Source organism: Homo sapiens, chromosome 18 (assembly GCF_000001405.40).
Source record: "Homo sapiens chromosome 18, GRCh38.p14 Primary Assembly".
In the NCBI taxonomy this organism is placed as follows: domain Eukaryota; kingdom Metazoa; phylum Chordata; class Mammalia; order Primates; family Hominidae; genus Homo; species Homo sapiens.
In genome coordinates, this window is record NC_000018.10 from 24,081,788 (window position 1) to 24,106,693 (window position 24,906).

At 40.9% G+C, this 24,906-nt stretch overlaps 1 protein-coding gene across 7 annotated transcripts in view; it reads left to right on the forward strand.

Annotated features, from left to right (window-relative positions):
• TTC39C (tetratricopeptide repeat domain 39C) overlaps nucleotides 1–24,906 on the forward strand; it is a 142,714-nt gene that overhangs the window by 88,901 nt on the left and 28,907 nt on the right. For 6 of the 7 annotated variants that reach the window (NM_153211.4, XM_047437297.1, XM_047437298.1 and 3 more), the window contains one exon: nucleotides 1,126–1,294. In NM_153211.4, coding sequence (NP_694943.2) covers nucleotides 1,126–1,294 — 169 coding nt within the window. Of the gene's footprint in view, nucleotides 1–1,125; nucleotides 1,295–6,229; nucleotides 6,516–24,906 lie in introns of those variants that run through there. The other variant, XM_006722392.4, reaches the window with a different exon arrangement.

The window sequence follows — 24,906 nt, forward strand, 5'->3', positions numbered from 1 at the left end:
AGTACACAGTTGTCCTTTATTAATGTGAATTAATAGGTTTGTTAACTTGTGATCATTTGTCTGTTTATATCTTAATATTTTATGCTTATCTCTGATAAAGAAATGAATAGAATTAATAGTGTCATTAGTATGAGCTCCATAAGAGAACCAAATTTATAAGCACACCAGAAGTATGCATTTACATAAAAATATTTGACATGTTGGTTAAACATTTTTGTCTGGCTGTTGTTTTTTTTTTTTTTTTTTTTGAGACAGAGTCTTGCTCTGTAGCCCAGGGTGGAGTGCAGTGGCGCGATCTCGGCTCACTGCAACCTCTGCCTCCCGGGTCCCGGTTCAAGCAATTCTGCCTCAGTCTCCCAAGTAGCTAGGATTACAAATCCCAGTGACTCTGTTTTGTTTACCTAGTTTAACATGGCCATTTTTTTTTTTAAATAATGAGTTTGGAGCAAGGGAGTCTGAAGTAATTTATTTATTTGCTTGTTTTTTAAATTGAACATCTTCAAAGGCCAGAGAAAGAGCCCTTTGTCTTATCCCCTCACTTATTTTAACCCAACTTAGTATAATTTGTGTCTGTGGTTTCCATATTTAAATTTATTCTTTTTTATAAATTTTCTTTTTCCTTTTGACCTATTTATTTGTGCATGATATTTAAACTTAGATTCTAGGTTTATACCCTAAGTTTTGTGAACGCAAGAGAAAACAACATTTTCCTTTTGCCAAAAATAAATAAATAAAGCTTTTATTACAAGGGAACGGTAAACTCATGGTGACTAGTTACCATTTCTAATTGGTGCATTAATGAGTAAAGTGTAGAATTCAGAGATTTATGTCAGCCATCTCTTCAGCGATCCATCTAGAAGGCTCAGAAAAGCTAAATGCTCCTGTTACTTTATTCTCTTCTCCCCTGAGGGAAGGGTGTCTTCTGATTTATATATTGTGCTAAAGTTGCAGTTTTCCAAATATTAACATTAAAATGGGGAAAGTCTCTGATTTTACTTCTTCAGAGACTGCATAGTAAGCTTTTTGGATAGAGTAGTATTGGAAGAACACATACTGGAGTTTTGAAAAATGGAAATGGTGTAAGGAAAGTTAATGTGCTCAATGTTTCTCTCCCTCTTCCTCTAGATTAGCTCTGCTCTGGTATCATACTGTAGTCCGCCCGTTTTTTGCCTTGGATGGCAGTGATAACAAGGCAGGCCTGGATGAAGCTAAGGAAATTCTCCTTAAAAAAGAAGCTGCTTATCCAAATTCTTCCCTCTTTATGTTTTTCAAGGGACGGATACAACGACTAGAGGTACTGTACCTTCCTCATCTTTTTAAAATAAAGCCTCCGATGATCAAATCTCTGATTCTCACTTGAGGACTGGTATTAAAACGAGCCAGAATGTCCCAGGGCCCCGGAGCATTTTGTTCTTTTGCCTTTCCTTGTGTCTTTGCTAGGGAAGACTCTTCCAGGAACCCAGGATGTTAGTCAGTTACCTTCTGTTCGGAAGATGTGGGCGAAGTAGGGGTAAGATTCCTCATTGCTAATGACACAAGATTGGTGCACTTCCAGCCTAAGGCACGTGAGCATTATTTAGTTGCTGAGTTGAAAAATACAAAATACAATTTTTTTCCCTCTCTGAATTACTAATAATCTCTTTCTAAACTTTGATCTTGGCTAACAATTGACTTATACAAAAGTTACTGCCTTAAATATCAGGGCAACATGAGCTTTGAAATACTAGGAGCTTTTATCACATTTTCATGTGCTTAATTTGGCTCAGTACTGCGTTAAGAACTTTATACACGCTTTTCCATTTCATCCTCAGAACAACCCTGTGACATAGGTGTAAAATTGTCATCTGCATGTTATAGAAAAAATAAACAGGGATCTAAGAGGGCTTCAAGCAACTTCCTGTGCTTGCCCAGTGAGTGAGCCTGGGTTGTCTCACTCCAGAACCAGAAATGCGCTGGCCTTTGGAGTCTACTTCTCCTTTGCATATCTTTTTATCTGCTTGTTTGAGGTTATGAGGATTTGTAGAAAAATGAAACTATAAGAAATTAATCATACCTATGAAATAAGATAGCTGTTATAGTAGCTGCTCCATCTACATTGTTACCAAGAGTTATCAGGGAATCAGTTTGAGATTTTAACAACATCTGTCCTCCAGTTAACCAGGCACTCTGAGAAATCAGCCCCCATGAGTCCTTTTGAAGATTTTTGCCTAGAAATGCTTTCATGGGCACAGGAATAATTTGTTTTTTTGGGGGTGGGGATGCAGGCAGTGGAGTGTATATTACTTTCCCAGTCATTTTTCTCCTTCATAAAGTGACTCCTTAAATCTGAAGACCATGCAGAGCAGTTTTCTAAGTGCTTTGTATATGGAAGATGTGTTTTAGAGATTATACTAGCAGTTGAAAATTGAGATATAAGCTGGGCATGGTGGCTCATGCCTGCAGTCCCAGCACTTTGGGAGGCTGAGGCAGGTGTATCACCTGAGGTCAGGAGTTCGAGACCAGCCTGGCCAACATGGTGAAACCCTGTTTCCACGAAAAATACAATAAACTAGCTGGGCATGGTGGTACGTGCCTGTAATCCCAGCTACTTGGGAGGCTGAGACACGAGAATCGCTTGAACCTGGGAGGCAGAGGTTGTAGTGAGCCGAGATTGCGCCACTGCACTCCAGCCTGGGTGACAGAGTGAGACTCCATCTCAAAAATAAATATATAAAATAAAATTGAGATATAGTTCAGAAAGCCCACCAAGATCTGAATTATTTAAACCTGTGTCCAAATTGTTTTTGTTCTCATTATCTTGCAATTGTTTTTCTTTGCATACAGGCTCGTGAGCCCTTGGTTGTGTTTCTCCCTTTTTTCTCTCACTGTTTTTTTTCTTTTCCTTTTTGAGACGGGTCTCACCCTGTTGCCCAGGCTGGCATGCAGTGACACAGTCATAGCTCACTGCAGCCTCAGCCTCAACCTTCCAGGCTCAAGCGATCCTCCGACCTCAGCCTCCAAAGTAGCTGGGACTACTGCTGTGCGACACCATGCCTGGCTAATTTTTGAATTTTTATTTTTAGAGATGGGGTCTCCCTATTTTGGCCAGTCTGGTCTCAAACTCCTGGGCTCAAGAGATCCTCCAGCCTCGGCCTCCCAAAGTGCTGAGATTACAGGTGTGAGCCACTGTGCCTGGCCTCAGGATGAGTGCTTTCTTAGATTTAGATTTCTTCAAGGGCAGATTTAGATTTCTTCAAGTTCTGAGTAGCTTTGAACACGATGCTACAGGGTTTAGTGTTTAACAGAGATTTGCTGGGTTTAGTGTTTAACAGATATTTATTACAAGGGGAAAGTAAATTCATGGTGACAGGTTACTGTTTCTAATTGGTGCATTGACGAATAAAGTGTAGAATTGAGAGATTTACCTCGGTCATCTCTTCAGCGATCCATCTAGAAGCCTAAAGTTTAAAATTGTGTGCAGCAGGGCAGTGAGGCCCCTTAGCTTTGGACATTTGTTAGAATTCTCTCTCTTTATTCTGCTGATGAATGAATGCTCTAAATTGGGTTTTGAAGTTGTTAAACAGAAATGTGAAAATCAGAATTTATATTTTGTTATACTTGCCATTTGAGTAATTTTTCATTTTAAAACAAAATTGCTTAACTTTTGGTTAAGCTAATAAGTTTTTTTCCCAAAAATCTTACTTTGACATGGTTTTAGTTTGTGCCACGACTAATTCCTATAGAGGATTGAGTGAATACTAAACATAAGCAGTCATTCCTTGTTGTCAAGATGGTTCTAGAAATAAGGAAGCCACAGCTTCATCAAAGGATTCCTGTAAATATGGTTTTTGGAGGTACATAGTCCACATTATAGCTCTTAGTAGATATGTAGTCTATTTGGGGGTAGATAATTGTGATCAGAGTGCAGAGGGTAGGTGCTAGAACTCCTTCACAGTTAAGCGGCACTTAACACAGTTAAGTTTTAAGAAAAAACACACAAGATCTGTGACTACGGTTATTTAGTGAGCTGTAGCTTTAGGGCCAGACAAAATATGATGAGTGTTTCTGTTTGGCTCTTCCCAAAGGCCCAGAGGATGAAAAGATTTTAAGGCTAACTTGAAATATGGTTGTTATTATCCCCAAGGTGCCCAGACAGCAGCGTTTCATTGCTCTTCCCAGGTATGTGTAGGACGGTATCAGAAATGACCATGTCATCCTTCATTTGCAGATGAGGAACTCTGCCCAGGGAGGCTGTGATATAGCCCTTGCCAAAGGCTGTTTGTAAGGCCTTGAAGGCCCTGACTCAGTTTATGAAACTTACATGACTCCTTCCAATGAATTTGCTTACAAAGAATTTTTTTTCTTTTCAGTGAACATTTAGGTTAGAAATAGGGCCCCTTGAGCTCTTTTTATCAACACGTACTCACAGAACATGGTCTAGGGGCTTTAATTTAGGGCAGGTGCATTATATGACACCATCTTTGTTTCTTCAGTGACTCAGAATCTGTGAAATTATTTGAACAGCTGCTTTTGTGTAAGCTTGCTAACATGCAGGGTGACTGTCTCAATCTGTGCCCGTCAGTGTTCATTCTTCTGTACTCGTTATTTTCAAATCCTGTTGAGTGCCCACTTTTTCTTTTAGTTTTGTTAACTTTTTACGTACTTTGCCTTTCGTTGTTTGGGACTCTGTAGAGTGAATATAGGAGGATTTCTTCCACAGATCTGCTCCTGTCGTGCCACTTGCATAAACCTCATTGTGGTGACTTGGCTGTTTTCTGTTATGGCCTCAGTTGATGTTGCAGTGAGTGCTACACCATGATGGTGAGGTCCGTTTGCACCCCAGCTGGTGAGCACAGGATCCTCTTTGCCAAACTGCAGAAAGAATTCCCTTGTCTCGCTGCCTCCGCTTCTCCCCACTGCGTGTCTATAGTACTGTGCCTCGAACCTTCTCTGCCCACTTGTGTTGTCCTTACAGCTGATCCTATTTTCCTTGACTCCTCCCATGTGACTTACTACATTGCTGGGGGGAATGAATGTGTGAATACAGTACCTAGCATGTGGCAAACGCTGTCTAAGTAAGGGTGTGATGGTGTTTATTATTCCTACTGAGTGCTTAAGCATGGGAAGTCAGGTATCACATTTTCGTGTTTTGTTTTTTTTTTTCTTTTGGGGAAAAAGAACTTGTTTGGTGTTGAGAGCTGTCAATAAAGCAAGGCCTGTGATTGGCAAAATTGGTTATGGGTGTAGCTATAGGAGATGTATGTACTATACAGCTGTTTACTTATCCCTGAATTTCCACAATGCAAACAATGTTTGGGAGGCTGACCAATGGGTTATATAGGAATCTCAATTTTCAAATGTGAATTGGTAGTTATAATTTTGAATTTCTGTATTTTCCATTAATGTTCACTTAATTTTCATTCAGTTAGACCTATGGTAGTGTTATGTCCATTAAGATACAAGCAATTAATGAGTATTTTTCTTGATTATTTTTACAATATTAGGGACAAGTCTATATTTTCATAAACTGTTTTCAGTTGTCTCTGCTCTTTCTTCTTTAAGCAATACAGATTTACACAACTTTTTTCTCTTTCAGCTTTAACAATCTGCTTTGTATGTGACATGTAAGGATTTGGTTTTCTGTAAATACATACTTTCACACACATACCTTATATGGTGTGACTAGTAATGTAACTAATTTTTAATATTATTTACCTCTAAAAAAGTGTTCAGATATTCAAATAAATGAAAGTCGTTTTCTATAAAGTTAATGAACATATTCTAACAAAGTTCCTATGCAAGCATTTTGAGAACTGTTTTTTTTTTGTTTTTTTTTGAGACAGAGTCTTGCTCTGTCACCCAGGCTGGAGTACAGTGGTGCAATCTTGGCTCACTGCAACCTCCGCCTCCCGGGTTCAAGTGATTCTCCTGTCTCAGCCTCCCGAGTAGCTGGGATTACAGGTGTGCACCACCATGCCTGGCTGATTTTTGTATTATTAGTAGAGATGGGGTTTCACCATGTTGGCTAGGCTGGTCTCAAGCTCCTGACCTTTATTTTGAAACAGTCTCCTGAGCTTGAGCCCATACGTTGTGAATATCCTGCATGCTGACATTTTAAAGCCTTAGGTTTGGTTTTTGGAAATCGAAATCTGGGCCTAGCACAGGACTGGCCCTCAATGTATGTTGGCTGAATGAATAGATGAAGCTACTGGTAGAAAAATCTATTGCTGTATGTCATTTCTTTTTTCAGAAATGATGTTGGTTATCAAGGACTATTTACTTTTCTTGTGGCACCTAAATGTGTTTCTGAAGTCAGTTCCAAAGAAGAAGTTGTAAAAATGTCTTGATAATTGAAATAAGAAGATGATCTCCTAAGAAGGGGACCAAATCAGCTATTTAAATTCCAGTATGCTGGCTAAACAATCAGTTTCATTTCTTGAGAGTCACATTTTTATTTCAAAGATGGGATTATAAAGAACTGAATTAAATTTAATTGAAGTAAAAAAGTAAATACATTAAATGAACTTTATCTGTTATATTTGTATTGGTGTATATTTGTCACATACACATACATGCAAATAGATGTTAACATACACACAGACATAGGTAAAAATCATGTTGGTGTCTTCACCTCATCTGCAGCTCTTGGCTCTGAGTGAGCTCCAGATATATGGGCAGTATCGTCTGTAGGGAGTCAAGAATGGAACAGTTCGGATTGCAGTAAAGGCTAGGGAGTCCTGCAACGTTGAAGTCATCAAGTAGCTATGGTCCTGCCCTTGGAGCCTCATTATATAATCTTTCTCCTATTTGAAGCTGCCTTGTTTGTTTTTTCAGAAGAGACACAGCCCTCTCTGCCCGTCCACCACTCTGTTGTGTCCTCCCCTTCCCTCACTCCGTTCCTGCTGAGAAAGGGACAGTGATAGGATGTGCTTCCCCCAAACCCTCTCAGTGTCTGTGGGGATGGCTTTGATGCTTGACCTTTACGTCGCCATATTCATGTCACCCAGGTTTGCTGGTTCCTTTCAAGAGGGTGGAGGTTCTTCCCCCTCATTTTCAATTCCCTACGAAGCTCTGTGTGAAAGACTTTCTTTACACTTCTATCCCCGGCGTGCCTGTGTTCTGTCTCTGGACCTTACTTCCATCCATGACTTCGGGTGCCATCAACTGTGAGAGGTGCCTTTTAAAAGTGGGCTTTAGTGTTTTCTTTCTGTATGTTTATTAAGATAAAGTTCCAGTTTCCATCAGTGACCCCCAGAATTAGTGGGAGGTCTCTGTGATTCTTCAGCCCATCAGTTCATCATTGTGACAGGGACAGGAGAGCAGACGTTGACCCCTTTGGTGATTTATTTATCAGATAGAAGAAAGAACAGGGAGACCCCGGGGGATCATGGAGAATATGGCCAGTGCAGAAGGGCCTGTGCTGTCCCCCATCTCTAGGGTACGTTGACATTATCAGAGCTGTTTGGTGGCTGTGTTTCTTTGCATCTGTTGAAGGGCAAGCCTGCCTCTTGTATTTGGAACAGCATGCCTTGTCAGCATGATGTAATGTTTTTATTTATAGGATCAGGAAAAAGGCAATGCAGGAAGAGAAATAATTCCCTAAAGTTCTGTTCATTGTAGTCTTCTCTTCCTGCATCCTACGTGGTTCTGTTAATGCTCAGGCACCAAAAAAGGAGGTTTCTGTTTATTTTTAGAACTATACAAAATGAGAGATTGATCTAATTTGGTGTAGAGGATATGAAGGATGTATTTGTATCTCACTTTCCAGTGAGATAAATCCATATTGTGTGGCTTAATGACCGTTTACCGAAATGAGAAGATGTTAGTAACCCCACTACACTTGCTGTCCTTTTAACCCTACCTATCTGTTGGGTTGAAAAGCAAGTAGAAGGTTAATATTGATTTATATCCCTAAGCTTATTATGTGTGCCTAAGAGGATGAGCTTTCCCTTGCCTACATGGTCCTAAGGGTAGGGGGCAAAAGCATAATCTATTGCTAGGTGACCTTTCTAGCAATATTGCTAAAGCGATTCTGCCACTCAGCAGCATTAGTGCTGAATTGCCTGTAAGTAAGTGGGTTGTTGCAGTGTGTCCTTCTGCTTGCTACAGGTGACAAGGAGATCCTCTCATTTCAAAACACATACATAATTATTTTAAGATGTTAAGCAATGTCATAAAAGTAACCTAGTGATAATTACATTCTAAGCTGTTTTACTTAAAATTATTTTGTAATCTTTATACATACGAGACTTTCTGCATTTTGTTTACAAATCTGATGTTTACAAGTATTAACATAATTTTTTAAGTAAATAATTGACATGCAGGCAGACTACTTAGATTTCCCTTGTGTTAATAATCTACTATTTTCCTGTTGTTGGGAAATTGTGGCTGGGATATTTGACTGTTGTTTCCCAATATTTCAATGTGATAGCAAGTACTGCAATAAATATTTCAGTATATATATTTTTAGCTCCTTATTAGATTATAGCTCCAGTGGTAGCATTGCTAAAATCAAGGTCTATAAACAGCTCTGTGTAGCTCTTAAATGATGAGAAATTCTCAAGAAATAGGGGGCCAGAATATAATTATTCATTATTTTATGCATGGTATCTACTCTACCCCATAGTTTTGTTTGCCTATTTTTATTTCCATAATGATACAAATTAAAGCAGTTTAACATTTTTAAAAATACTGCTGAAAAGATATCCATGTTTTGTATCAGAACTCTCAGTATTGTTAAGATGGCAGTACTTTCCTAATTGAGCTACAGATTGAATGCAGTGTCTGTCACAATCACAGCATTTTATTTTTTTTTGCAGAGATTAACAAACTGATCCTAAACTCAAGGGCCCCAAAATAGCCAAAATAATATTGAGAAAGAAGGAAAAAATGGAAAGTGGAAAAAGAAAACTCCACTTCCTACTCTCAAAACTTACTACAAAGTAATCAAGACAGTGTGGTACGAGCATAAGAATAGACATATGGATCAGTGAGAATTGTGAAATAAATCTTACATTTATGATTAATTTACTTTTTTTTTTTTTTTTTTTTTTTTTTGGAGACAGAGTCTTGCTCTGTCACCCAGGCTGGAGTGCAGTGGCATGATCTCAGCTCACTGCAACCTCCACCTCCCAGGTTCAAGCGATTCTCATGCCTCAGCCTACCAAGTAGCTGAGACTACAGGTGTGCGCCACCATGCCTGGCTAATTTTTGTATTTTTAGCGGAGATGGGGTTTCACCACGTTGGCCAGGCTGTTTTCGAACTCCTGACCTCAGGTTCTCTGTCCGCCTCGGCCTCCCGAAGTGCTGGGATTACAGGCGTAAGCCGCCACGCCCGGCCTTATGATCAATTTGCTTTGACATGGACATCAAGACACGTCAGTGGGCAAAGAATAGTCTTTTCAGCCAGGCACAGTAGCTCAATGCCTATAATCCCAGCACTCTGGGAGGCCAGGGCAGGCAGATTGCTTGAGCTCACAAGTTTGAGACCATCATGGGCTGTGTTGAAACCCCATCTCTACAAAAATTAGCCAGGTGTGGTAGTGCACATCTGTAGGCCCAGCTATTCAGGAGGCTGAGGTGGTAGGATGGCTTGAGCCCGGGGGATGGAGGTTGCAGTAATCAGAGATCATGCCACTGCACTCCAGCCTGGGTGACAAAGCCAGACCATGTGCTGGGACAACTGAGTATTCACAGATGCAAAAGAATGAAGTTGGACCCTTATACTATACAAGAAAATTAACTCAAAGCGGATCATAGACCTAAATGTAAGATCTAAAACTGTAGAACCCTTGGGTTAGGCCTTGGTTTCCTAGACATGACACTAAAAGCACAATGACAAAAGAATAAATAAATTGAACTACATCAAAATGAAACATTTGCGCTATAAACAATACAATCAAGAAAGTGAAAAGACAACCCATAGAATGGGAGAAAATATTTGCAAGTTATATATCTGATACGGGACTTGTATTCTGAATATGTAAAGAACTGTTACAACTCAATAATAAAAAGACAAGCCAATTTAAAAATGGACAATGGGGGCAGGCGCGGTGGCTCACGCCTGTAATCCCAGCACTTTGGGAAGCCAAGGCGGACAGATCACGAGGTCAGGAGATCGAGACCATCCTGGCTAACATGATGAAACCCTGTCTCTACTAAAAAAAAATGCAAAAAATTAGCCAGGTGTGGTAGCGGGCGCCTGTAGTCCCAGCTACTCGGGAGGCTGAGGCAGGAGAATGGTGTGAACCTTGAAGGCGGAGCTTGCAGTGAACCAAGATCGCATCACTGCACTCCAGCCTGGGTGACAGAGTGAGACTCAGTCTCAAAAAAAAAAAAAAAAAAAAAAAAAAAAAAAAATAATAATAATAGACAACGGATCTGAAGAAACATTTCTCCAAGGAAGATAGGCAGTATCATAAATCACTAAGGAAACAAATCAAAACCAAGTAAGCTACTGTTTCACACCCACCAAGCTAACTACAGTAGGCAAGACAGCCAATAGCAAGTGTGGGCAGGATGCAGAGTGATTGGAACCCTCATTCATTGCCAGTGAGAATGTGAAATGGTGTGGCTGCTCTGGACCCAGTTCAACAGTTCCTCAAAATGTCAAACTATATGAAACAGCAATTTCACTCCTAGGAATATGCACAAGAGAAATAAAAACACCACTCCATATTATTATCCATAATAGCCAAAAAGTGGCAACAGCTCAGATGTCTATCAACTGATGAATGGATAAACAACATGTGATACATTCATACAATGGAATATTATTCAGCAATAGAAAGGAATGAAGTACAGATACATACTATAGCATGGAGGAACCTTGAAAACATGTTATGTGTAAAAAGTCAGTCACAAAGACCATATACTATATGATTCCATTTATATGACATCTTTAGGACGGGTACATCTACAGAGGCAGAAAATAGATTATTGCTTGCTTCAGTGTGGAGGTAGGTGAGGGAACAGTGTGGAGTGACTGCTAATGGATACATGGTACATAGTTTCTTTGGGGGAATGAAAATATTTCAGGCAGAGCACAATGGCTCACACCTGTAATCTCAGCACTTTGGGAAGCTGAGGTGAGTGGACCAGTTGAGCCCAGAAGTTTGATACAAGCCTGGCAATGTGGCGAAACCCCATTTCTACAAAAAATTAGCTGGGCGCACAGCTGTAGTCCCAGCTCTTTGGAAGGCTGAGGTGGGAGGATCATCTGAGCCCAGGATGTTGAGCCTGTAGTGAGCCGTGAAGGCACGAGACCCTGTTTCAAAAATATGTATATTTTAAACTTAGATTGTAGTAGTAGTTGCATAGCTATAATATTACTCTATGAGTATTCTAAAGACTTATTAAATTGTACACTTTAAGTGGGTGAATTTTGTGATTTTTGAATTTTATCTCAATAAAGATGTTTTATAAAAGTATTGGCCGGGTGCAGTGGCTCACGCCTATAATCCCAGCACTTTGGGAGGCCGAGGCGGGCAGATCACGAGGTCAGGAGATCGAGACCATCCTGGCTAACATGGTGAAACCCCGTCTCTACTACAAATACAAAAAACTAGCTGGGCGTGGTGGCGGGCGCCTGTAGTCCCAGCTACTTGGGAGGCTGAGGCAGGAGAATGGCGTGAACCCAGGAGGCAGAGGTTGCAGTGAGCCTAGATCGTGCCACTGCACTCCAGCCTGGGTGACAGAGTGAGACTCTGTCTCAAAAAAAAAAAAAAAAGTATTGAGAGTGTGCATTTTCTGTATGATTTTATACAATCTCTTTTTCTTCGGATATAAGCTACTGATTAAACCAAGTTTGATGACTTTCAACTAAGATATACAGGCATACATCAGAGACATTGCGGGTTTGGTTCTAGACCACTGCACTAAAGCAAATATCACAATATAGTGAGTCACATGAATTTTTTGGTTTCCCAGTGCATATAAAAGTTAAGTTTACATTGCACTGTAGTCTGTTAAGTGTGCAGTAGCATTATGTCTAAAAATACAATGTGTATACCTTAATTAAAAAACTTTATTGCTAAAACTATCAATCATCTGAGCCTTCAGCAAGTCGTAATCTTTTGGCTGGTGGAGGGTGTTGCCTAGATGTCGATGGCTACTGGCTGATCAGGATGGTGGTTGCTGAAGGTGGGGGTGGCTGTGGCAATTTCTTGAAGTAAGGCAACAGTGAAGTTTACCCCGCCGATTGACTCTTCCTTTCACGAATGATTTCTCTGTAGAATGTGATGCTGTTTGATAGCATTTTACCTACAGTAGGACTTCTTTCAAAATTAAGTCAATTCTCTCAAACCTTACCACTGCCTTATCAACTAAGTCTATGTGTTATTTTAAGTCTTTTGTTGTCATTTCAGCAGGGTTCACAGCATCTTCACCAGGAGATGCCATCTCAAGAAACCATTTTCTTTTCTCACTCATCTTAAGCCCCTCCCATCTCTTCATGTTTTGTCCTGCGATTGCAACAAGTCAGTCCCATCTTCAGGCTCCACTTCTGATTCTAGTTTTCTTGCTATTTCTACCACATTGGCTGTTTCTTCCTCCACTGAAGTCTTGAACCTCTCAAAGACATCTAGGAGGGTTGGAAGTAACTTCTTGCAAACTCCCATTAATGTTATTTTGACCTCCTTCTATGAATCCATGTTCTTAATGGTGTTTACAATGGTAAATCCTTTCCAGAGGGTTTTCAATTTACTTTGCTCAGATCCATCAGAGGAAGCCATGTCTATGGCAGCTATAGCCTTATCAAATGTATTTCTTAAATAATAAGACTTGAAAGTCAAAACTACTCCTTGTTCCATGAGCTGCAGAATGGATGTTGTGTTAACAGACATGAAAACAACATTATATCTCATTGTACATCTCCATCAGAGCTCTTGGGTGGCCACATACATTATCAGTAAGCAGCAATGCTTTGAAAGGAATCTTTTTTATTCTGAGAAGTATGTCCCAACAGTGTGCTTAAAATACTGAGTAAACCATATTATAAACAGATGTGCTGTCATTCAGGCTTTCTTTTTCCATTTATAGAACACAGGAAGAGGAAGAGTAGATATAGCCTAATTCTGAAGGGCCCTATGATTTTCAAAATGTTAAGTGAGCATTGTCTTCAACTTAATGTCACCAGCTGAATTAGCCTCTTAGAAGAGAGTCACCCTATCCTTTGAAGCTTTGAAGCCAAACATGGACTTCTCAAGCTATGAAAATTCTAGATGGCATCTTCTTCCAATAGAAGGCTGCTTTGTCTCCACTGAAAGTCTGTTGTTTAGTATAGCCTCCTTCATCAATGATCTTAGCTAGATCTTCTGGTTTTCTTGCTATGGCTTCTCCATCAGCACTTGCTGCTTCACCTTGCACTTTTCTGTTATGGAGACGGCTTCTTTCCTTAAACCTCATGAACCAACCTCTGCCAACCTTGGGCTTTTCTTCTACAGCTTCCTCACCTCTGTCAGCCTTCAAAGAATTGAAGAGAGTTAGGATCTTGCTCTGGATGAGGCTTTGGTTTAAAGGAATGTTGTGGCTGGTTTGATCTTCTATCCAGACCACTAAAACTTTATTCGTATCAGCAGTAATGCTGATTTGCTTTCTTATCATTCATGTGTTCACTGGAATAGCACTTGTAATTTCTTTCAAGAACTTTTCAGCTGGGCGCAGTGGTTCATGCCTGTAATCCCTGCTCTTTGGGAGGCTGAGGCCAGCAGATCACCTGAGATCAGGAGTTCGAGACCAACCTGGCTAACATGGTGAAACCCCATCTCTACTAAAAATACAAAAATTAGCGGGACATGGTAGCACATACCTGTAATCCCAGCTACTTGGGAGGCTGAGGCAGGAGAATTGATAGAACCTGGGAGGCAGAGGTTGCAGTGAGCCGAGATTGCATCATTGCACTCCAGCCTGGGCGACAAGAGTGAAACTCCGCCTCAAAAAACAAACAAACAAAAAAAAACTTTTCCTTTGCATTCACAGCTTGGCTAACTGGCATAAGGCACCTAACTTCCAGCCTTTCTCAGCTTTCAACATGCCTTCCTCATTAAGCTTAATCATTTTTAGCTTTTGATTTAAAGTGAGAGACTTACAGTTCTTCCTTTCACTTGAACACTCAGAGGCCATTGTAGGGTTATTAATCAACCTCAATTAATGCGTCTTAGGGAATGGGGGGCCCAAGGAGAGGGAGAAAGAAGGGGGAATGGCTGGTTAGTGGAGCAGCCAGATCACACACAACATTTATCAACTAAGTTTGTTGTCTTATGTGGGCATGGTTTGTGGTGCTCCAAAACAATTAAAATAGTAACATCAAAGATCACTGATCATAGATCACCATAACAAATATAGCAGTCATGAAAAATTTGAAGTATTGGGAGAATTACCAAAATGTGACACAGAGACACGAAGTGAGCTCATACTGTTGGAAAAATGATGCCAATGGACTTATTCATGGCAGGGTTGCCACACACCTTCAATTTGTTAAAGAAAAAAAGTGGTATCTGTGAAGTGCAATAAAATGAGGCATGCCTGTATTTCTTATATATTTGTCCAAATTCTAAATGTATAATATAAATATTAGTGAAGTTAATTATATTTTCTGTCTATTACTTTCATTGTGAGAATTAACATTGCCTTTAATCGTAGGAACTTTGAACATTCAGACATATTCACATTGTTGTTATAATGATAGACTCATTTCTCCAGAAATGAAATTTATCTTCCATCCCAAACTAAGATTTATAGACTATTCTGTTTTTAAATTGTAAACGGATGTTTAAAAACTATCTTACTGTATTTTCATGCCTCTTTGCATGTATGAGATGTACATATGGTTTTATTCTGATCCCTTCTGTAAATCAGGGATGTGCGTTTGTTTCGAGGGTATTTTCTCTTCCTGTCATTGAATCAAATTCTTAAAATAGATAAAATCTTTCTTTTTACTTTTTATATTTTATCTGTATACTTTTTAAGTGAATATTATATAGCTTTGATAATTGTGATAAGGGGACTTCAAAAACTTCATTGACAAATGGAATTAAAAGATAAAATTATAAAACATAAACTTTATCAACATAAGCTCTACCAAGTTCCAGACTCTTTTGTAAGCGATGATACCAGCCATTTAGTCCATCCTTAAAGAACTGTGGGTCCTGGGAATTTAACCATGTCAGTGCAGTCTTTTTTACATAATTAACTGAAGAAAAATTGGTGCCCTTTAAAATTAGGAAACAAGAAGTCAAAGGGAGCCAAATCAGGACTGTAAGGTGAATGCCTAATGATTCCCAAGGAAATTCTCACAAAATTGGCCTTTTTCGATGAGAGGAATGGACAGGAGCATTGTCACAGTGGAGGACTCTCTGGTGAAGCTGTCCGGGGTGTTTTGCTGCTAAACCTTTGGCTAACTTTCTTAAAACAATCTCATAAGTAGCAGATGTTATCATTCTTTGTCCCCACGCCCAGAAAATCAACAAGCAAAATGCCTTGAGCATCCCAAAAAAACTGTTGCCATCACCTTTGCTCTTGCTGTCTTTGCTGTGACTAGGCCACTCCCACCTCTTTGTAGCCATTGCTTAGATTGTGCTTTGTCTTCAGGATTGTAGTGGTAAATCCACATTTCATCTCCTATTACAGTTCCTTGAAGAAACACTTCAGGATCTTGATCCCACTTATTTACAATTTCCATTGAAAGCTGTGCCCATGTCTGCAGCTGATCTGGGTGCAGTGGTTTTGGCACCCATCAAGTGAAACTTTGCTCATCTTTTTTGGTCAGAATGGTGTAAGCTGAACCAATTGAGATGTCTATGGTGTTGGCTATTATTTATAGTCCTCTTCAATTAGGGCATGAACAAGATTAATATTTTCTTTGCAAATCTGTGTAGATGGTCTGCCACCATGGGCTTCATCTTCAACATCGTCTTGGCCCTTCGTAAACTTATACATTTGCAAACTGCTGATTTCTTTGGGGAATTATTCCTATAAACTTTTTGTAAAGTGTCAGTGATTTCACCATTCTTTCACCCAAGCTTCACCATAGGTTTTATGTTTGTTCTTGCTTCCATTTAAATGCAGAATTTATGTTGCTCTGATAGGGGCTCTTTTCAAGTTGATGTCTTATGCTTCTTAGTGCCTCAAACTAGATCCTGCTCAGACATGTTATAGCAAGTTAGTATGGGCTTATTTTGGTGTAAAAAAATTTGAAATTCATGCATAGTTTTATTATAATGCACATTTTCTATGACCATTTTGAAGACCCTGCCTATGTCTTAAATAAAACAAGAATATCATGATTGCCTTTTAAATATATATTATATTATTTTTTATCCACTTGTTCTCTCACATATATACATAACTATCAGTTTCTCAGGTTCTCTGTTAATGGGAAATTTAAATTGATACTATGTTTATAATATTTCTTATCAGTCACTGAGGATATGTCTTCATTTAGTCATGTCACCTTTTATTTCTCCCATTTTGACTATAAAATTTTTGCATATGTCTGTCCTGTCGTATATAGCAAGCAGGGGTCCAGATGAGATAAGTACTTTGTGAAAGTGTACATAGTTATTTTAGGATTAAGGAAGACCTAGAATTCAGGCTTTCTTTCTTTCCTTTCTTTTCCTTCCCTCCCTCCCTCCCTCCCTCCCTCCCTCCCTCCTTCCTTCCTTCCTCCTTTCCTTTCTTTCCTTTCTCCTTTCCTTTCCTTTCTTTTCTCCTCTCCCTTCCCTCTCCTCTCCTATCCTCTCCTCTCCCCTCCCCTCCCGTCCCCTCCCCTCCCCTCCCCTCCCCTCTCCTCTCCTCTCCTCTCCCTTTCTTGCTTTCTTTTCCTCTCTCCCTCCCTTTCTTTCTTCTTTTCTCTTCTCTTCTGTTTGTCTCTTTTTCATCTCTTTTTAGATGGAGTCTCGCTCTATCACCCAGGCTGGAGTGCAGTGGTGCGTTCTTGGTTCATTGCAACCTCTGCCTCCCGGTTCAAGCAATTCTCCTGCCTCAGCCTCCTGAGTAGCTGGGAGTACAGGTGCCCAACACCACACCTGGCTAATTTTTGTATTCTTAGTAGAGACGGGGTTTTGCCATGTTGGCCAGGCTGGTATCGAACTCCTGACCTCAAGTGATCCTCCTGCCTTGGCCTCCCAAAGTGCTGGGATTACAGGCATGAGTCACTGCGCCCAGCCCAGGCTTTCTTTTTTTAATCGAGTGTTTTTTCTAGTATATCCCACTGCTTTTATTTGCTAATAAGTTAGAGGAATGTGTGTGTGTGTGTGTGTGTGTGTGTGTGTATATATATATCTATACACGTATATACATATAACATATATACATATATATAACATATATACATATATATATATAAAACGTGTGTGTGTGTGTGTGTGTGTGTGTGTGTATGTGTGTGTCTTAGTTTGGGCTGCTATAAAAGAATACTATAGATTGGGTGACTAAAACAACACACTTTTATTTCTCACAGTTCTGGAGGCATGAGATCCAGGTGCCAGAAGATTGGGTGTCTAGTGAGGACCATGTCCTGGTTCATAGATGATGGCTTCTCACTGTGTCCTCAGATGGTGGAAAGGGGGCTAGAGAGCACTCAGGGGTCTCTTTTATGAGGGCACAAATTGCATTCATGAGGGCTCCACCCTCATGATCTGATTACCTCACAAAACTCCCACCTCCTAATACAGTTCCAGTGAGGGTTAGGATTTCATGTATCAATTTTGTGAGGCAGGAGCATTCCATAACAATGTTATATATAATATATAACTGATATATGTAACTTAGCAATTAATATATATATGTATGTATTTAAATGTGAATATAAATATTTCTGGGACTTGTGTTTACTAGGCTTTAGGAATAGACCTGATTTGTTTTTAATGATTTGGCTAAAAGCGTATCTTTTTTATATGCTTTCTTATATCTCCATATTTTGGAGAAACAGATCACTTAAAGTAATTAAACTGCCATTAAACATTGGAAGGAGTTCTTATGTAACTTACTGCTGTGAAATTCCCTTTTGAAATCAGTTTTTTAATAACTTCCCTTATTTCTTCTGTAATGTTAATATATATTTACTTATATCCATTTTAGTTTTATATTATAGTTTTCCATTTCTAGTTATTACTTTCCAAACATATAACTTAATACTAGTTTCAGATCTGTAAAAATGTGATATTATTTTATTAGACTAATTTGTGTTTTCTTAATTTTATGATTAAGCTTTTGGATTATCATATTGGTTTTGAGAGAGAGAGATTGATTTTTTTAATCAACTCATTTTAAAATTTCCATCGTTTCTAGTTTCCCTTAACTTAGCTTGTTTTACAGTTTTTCTTAATAGTTTATCATAACACATTTGTTGTATTAGAATAGTTGGATATTTGTGTTCTGGGATTAGGGATTTGATCACATTCAGGGTGTTTAGGGAGCCTGAAGGTTTTATTAAATGTTCATTGTGATGTGTCTTAATTATCTGATTATGATTATGATTCATCTTACATCCTTTAATAACCTGTGTGGAAGGCCTACTCTGAGTCTGTGGCCCTTGTCCTCCGCCTGGCAGAAGCTCAGGGTTTAGGGCTCACCCCTGGAGGCCACTGTTGGGATGAATCCTGGCCCCTCCACTCTGGCCGAGTGACCTTGGCCCTTCACCTCTTTAAGCCTTGCTTCCCTCCTCAGTGAGATGGGGATCCCAGTGGTATCTTGGCCCAGTTTAGCTGTTAGGATTCAGTGAGGCAACCCAGGAGGCGTGTGCAGCACAAGGCTTGGAGTGAGTGCCCAGTCGTTGGCTGTAATGACAGTGGCACTGCAGTGTGACTCTTCTTAGGGTTGTGGCCAGAGTGGAGGGCATTTATTGACATAGGGCTTCCGAGCTTCAGTTTTTAGTGTGTGGCATTGTAGAGAGAACATTGGACTAGAAGTCTGTGGATCTGGTTTCTAGCTTTGGCTCTGCCATAAACAGTAAAAATTATTTCCTAATGGTTGCTTTCACGTCAGGCAGTTTGAAAGAGGTGGGAGACCTCAAGCCAGTGGACCTTCTCTGGTGTTCTTTTTATTCACCAGGAATGTTAGAGGGTTGGAATAAGTCAGGGTTTTCTGAAGCACCAGCCCAGTCTCACTGATTTGATGGCCTGTTAGTACATGTCCCATGAAAAGAGGTTCTGTGTTGGGTTAATTGGGATATCCTGGGACTTCTCCCAGGCTTTAGTTTTGCACTGTGATTCTCCAAGGGGAAGATAAGAATATGCAGGTATGCTATGTTTAACCAGCTTATTTGACCAGGAAAATTCCTATTTATACTGTAGCCTGTGAGACTGGAAGCGTTCGGTAGAACATACTTTGGGAAGCAGTAGGCTAGATAATTTGTGAGATCTCTTCCAACTTTCAAATGTTATGATTCTGTGAATATACTAAAAACCACTTAATTTTATACTTGAAAAGGATGAATTTTCTGGTTTGTGAATTAGATCTCAATAAAGCTGGTAATAAAATCTTCAAAACTAACTACCTGGGATTATTTCTGCTTTTTACAACTTGGCTTTAATTTTTCATAAAAAAAAAAAAAAAAAACTGGCTGGGCACTGTGGCTCACGCCTGTAATCCCAGCACTTTGGGAGGCCAAGGCGGGCGTTATCACCAGGTCAAGAGATCGAGACCATCCTGGCCAACACAGGGAAACCCCGTCTCTACTAAAACTCAGAAAGCTGAGGCAGGAGAATCGCTTGAACCCAGGAGGTGGAGGTCGCAGTGAGTCGATATTGTGCCACTGCACTCCAGCCTGGCGACAGAGCGAGACTCCGTCTCAAAAAAAAAAAAAACATCCACATAGCAGCTTGCCCGTTGAACACCTTTTACAGAGAGTGTCATTCAGGTCTAGCAAACATTCAGTGTCACTTTGCTGATTATAACTTTGGTTTGTTTCTCTTATGCCAGTCTTGACACATATTAGGTCTTCTCGGCTTTCTAGGTTTATCTGTTTGTCTTGAAATGCTGTCTTCATTGGAGTTGTATGGCTGTTTGTAGACTAGTGTATTCTGTATTTCTATGATTTTTGTTTTTCTGAGTTAATTCTTTGTGTTATCTTCTTCGCTGTTATTTTTAATTCTTTGATAACATCTTAACATAAGCACATTTCTTTTAAACTTACTGCTGTGTTTCACATACATTTTCCCCATCATTTTAAAAGGCATTTTGGTGTAGTGGAGAGAGCACTAGGCTCATCTCAAAATGGGGTCTTCAACTTACTGGCCCAGCCCAGCTTTCTGAGCCTGTACCCTCATCTGTAAAAAAGAAGGCAGTACCTCCCACTAGGAGAAGACGTCAGCCTTCAGTAATGCAGCCTGGGAAGGGTAAAGCACTAAGCACAGGGTTAGTTTATCAAGTGCTCTTTTCCTATCTAGACAGAATCGTGTCTGAATTGTAAATCCCACTACGAAGCACTTTCCGTCACAAATGTCAGAATCCTGCCATGACTGTTGAGAGACCAAGGAAGTTTTGTAATTGGTGCATTATTCATTTCCTCTACCATTAGTGGTGGATTCAGTTGCATAACTCACTTTTCAAGGTGATTGCTATTCATTCACGTGGAGATGCTGAAAACATAACTACTCTATCCATTATGTGTACATAATCAAGTATTTATTGGCTATGATGTGAAAGGTCTTCTGAGGATGAAACTTCCCTGCCCACAAGAAACATGGAATTCGGTTATGAAGAAAGCAGTGTGCATACACAAAAAAGCAAGAAAAAGAAAGCGCCAAGTGAATGGGTGGTTGCTGTGGGTGGAGACGACTGGAGAGGTGGGGACCGTCTTTAGGATGAGGAGGCTGTGGGGCGGGGAGGTCCACATTGCTGGCTCTGGAGTCAGACTGAGCAGGTTCCCGTTTTGGGCTCCACCTCAAAGGCTATGTGGCCTTCAGTGAGGCCTGGAGATTGTACACCTGGCCCACGAGGAAGGTTTGCCATCTTACCAGGCACAGGGTTAAGAGCACCCCACATGTTGGCCCCTCTGATGATGATGATGAGACCGGGATAAGCTTATTAAAGCAGCTTTGCTTAAACGCTCTTTACCTAGGCCGGTGTGCTGGCTCACGCCTGTACACTCCCACTTTGGGAGGCCAAGGTGGGAGGACTGCTTGAACCCAGGAGTTTGAGACCAGCCTGGACAACATGGCGAAACCCTGTCTCTACAAAAAATACAAAAATTAGCCAGGTGTGGTGTGCACATAGTCCCACCTATTTGGGAGGCTGAGGTGGGAGGATCCCTGGAGCCTAGGAGGCGGAGGTTGCAGTGAGCCGTGATCACGCCACTGCATTCCAACCTGGGCAACAGAGTGAGACCGTGTCTGGAAAAAAAAGAAAAAAGGGCTCTTTATTTAGCCTCTCCTTGCTCCACATCAGAATGTTAATTTCCAACTGCCTCATTCTGTCTAAGTCATATTCATTTGAGAATGTGGCGAAGTACAAAAGTATGTCAAGGTACAGATAAACGTCTTGCATTCCAGAAATATATACTATTTACATTTGCTCAATACCTGAGTATTATTGACTATAATTATCAGTTGGAGATCTGTGTCTTCTAAATAGTCATTCACAGTAGGCACTGGAGGTGGTCTTATGTCAGAAATTTATACAGATCCTGAAAGGACAAATGGAGATGTGCAGAACATCCTTGTGGTTTGAAAATCTGTGTGTAATTCACTAATCTGCAATTGGTCTGCATAGCCAGCAGTAACAAACAGCACACGTGTGGTCTGGTTCTTGGGAACTCACTGAACTCCCCTACCTTGTCTCTTATAGGGCATATATTTCAAGGTCAGCGTCAGCTTTTATCTGCTATATGTATCTCTTTCACATGTGATGTTGTTCACATTGGAGAGTCACTTTCTTATACTATATGGAGTTTTATTAATGAATTAGGAATTTCAGAGGCCACTTCTTTCTGCCCTTCCCACCCACCCCTCCTCCTGCCCCAGTCCCAGCCAACACTGTTTTTCTCCTGGATGGTCACATCATCCTGACTCCCTGCTTTTGCTCTTCTTGCCCTGCAGTCTGCTCTAACATATCTGTCAAAGTAACTTCGTTAGTAAAATTTAGGTTACATTATGTCATGTCTCTGTACAAAACCCATAAATAACTCCTCTTCCCATTCAGTGCGAAATCCCACATTCTCTCTCTGTTTTTTTTTTTTTTGTTTGAGACGGAGTCTTGTTCTGTCACCCAGGCTGGAGTGCAGTGGTGCCATCTCGGCTCATTGCAACCTCCACCTTCTGGGTTCAAGCAATTCTCCTACCTCAACCTCTTGAGTAGCTGGGATTACAGGCACTTGCCACCACGCCCGGCTAATTTTTGTATTTTTAGTAGAGACTGGGTTTCACCATGTTGGCTGGGCTGGTCTTGAGCTCCTGACCTCAAGTGATCCACCCACCTTGGCCTCCCAAAGTGCTGGGTTTATAGGCATGAGCTACCGCACCTAGCCCCAAATCCCAAATTCTTATAATGGTCATCAGGGCTTGCATGAACTGACCTCCTGTTGCCTCTGCAGTCTCCTTGCCCACCAGCTATGGCCATCCCCACTCCACCCCTGCCCCACTGGCCTCCTTCCTTCCTTAAATGCACAGGGCACAGGGCTGCCTCGGGGCCTTTGTGCTTTCTGGGCCCTGCCTAGGACATTTTTACCTTTGATATCTGCTTTCACCAGTTCCTCACTTCCTTGAGTTTGTTCAGAGTCACCTCCCAGGGAGACCACCCACCTCATCCCTGCCCAGAGACTTCTCTCAGGACACTCTACGTGAAGGGGTTTCCTTATTTGTTTATTGTCTGCCCCTCCCCATTAGAATGAGAACTTAAGCTCCACGAGGACAGAGACTTCGTTTGGGCCACTGCTTTATCTCAAATGCCTAGACCAGTGCCCAGCGCTTAGGGAGCAGGGTGTTTGTGTGTGTGTGTGTGTGTGTGTGTGTGTGTGTGACTGTGCATGTGTGTGTGTGTGATGAATGAATACAAAGTACAGTCTCTTGTTCTTTTCCTCTCAGTTGTGCTGTGATGTAGCTCCTGGACTTTTGTCAGAATGGGAGCAGCCATATTTATGGCATGTGGAAACAGTTCCCTAATTATGCAAAATTTATGAATTCCACATCCCCAGTAGTATTAAAAGCTCCATCTCCCCCATCAAGGACTTTCTAAACGTAACTCTAAAACCAAAACATATTAAGAAAAAGATTGATAAAATTGATCAAAAGATTGATAGAATTTACATAAAAATAAACTTCTGTATTGTAAAAATATCATAAGCAAAGTTCAAAAAAAGAAAAAAAAAACCCTGGATGTTAACCTACTAAATGTTAGCATCTTTAGTATAGAAAGAGTTCTTTCAAAATTAGGACATAATGGAAGGATAAATAAATAAAAGCACAGAAAAAGAAAAATGCCAAAACACCTAAGCTGGGAAGTCAGGAAATAAGATATACACATGGCCAATAACATGTGAACCTTGCAAAAATCCAGGAAATGCAAATTAAAACAACATGGAAGAATGATTGGCTAATACTGAAAACATTCAGTGTGAATAAAAGATACAGGGAAATTGACCCTTTACAAACTGTTGGTACATATGGATAGTTGATAAAATCTTTATGGCTGATCATCGGGTATTTATACAAATTACTGTTATAATTTGCCAACCTAAGAGGGAAATAAATGTATTATATAGGCATGCATATATGAAATACATATGTGCACACACACACACATGCCTGCACATACACATACATGCACACACACACTTGCAGGCAGGCACCACACTGGCCCACCTTCGTCACCTGTGAGAACTCCAGTGGTGGCTTCTGAGTGGGGTGTGGGGAGCACTGTGACTTGCCTCACTTGAGTCAGGTGCTCACCCTTGCCCTTACACCAGAGAAAGACACTTCCATGCCACCACATGGGTGATGGTGGACAGAGGTGAATGGATCCCCAAAGAAGGGACACCCCTGACCGTTGGTGTCTTCGTTTCCCACGGCTGCCATAACAAAGTATCACAAACTGGGGACTTAAACAACAAAAATGTATTGTCCCCCAGCTCTGGGCTAGATGTCCAAAATTAGAGTCAGCAGAATTGGTTCCTCTGAGGGCCGTGAGGGAGAGCCTGTTCCATTCCTCTCTCCTGGCTTCTGCGGCTTGCTGGCAAGCTTTGCCATGTCTTGGCCTATGGAAGTGTCACCCCCATCTCTGTCTCCGCCTCCGCATGGTGTTCTCTCTTTGAGCTGGCCTCCGCATCTGCATTCTCCCTCTTTATGAGGGAGTCAGGACCCACCCTACTCCAGTGTGACCTGGTCTAAACCTAGCTCATCACATCTTCAACAACCCTTATTTCCAAATAAGGTCACATTCTGATGTAGGGGTTAGGACTTTAACATGAATTTGGAGGGACACAATTCAATCCATAATGGTTGACATCCAGTGCCAATTAGTGTCTCCCCACAGGCAACTGGGCGTTTCTCTCCCTTTTTATGCAGATGCCATTGGTGCCCTAGCTGCCTCCAAGTGCACCACCTACACGTTCTTCCAGAGGTCTCAGAACAAAGATTCTCACACCAAATTAAAATGGGCTGGAATCACAGAGTTTAGTGAATTGATGTAAATCGCTCAGTGGAAAGAGAAAGAATCAGTTAGCACTCTCAGGGGAGGCTGCAGGCGGGGTGGGTGGGAGGACTGTGCGACCTGGGTGCTGGGGTGTGTGATGTGCAGTGTCCTCCCTTCCTCTGCACATCCCTCTTCCTCACTGACGTGGTTAGGAGGACTGGCGTTGTGTTGGAGAGAGGGGGCCTGCAGGTGGAGGGTATCCTGGGCTGGGGCACATAATTTATCAGAGACCCATGGGGATGAGGGGATGAGTACACCTGGCCATAGTGCAGCAGACTGATGGACAGCCATGGGTTGTTT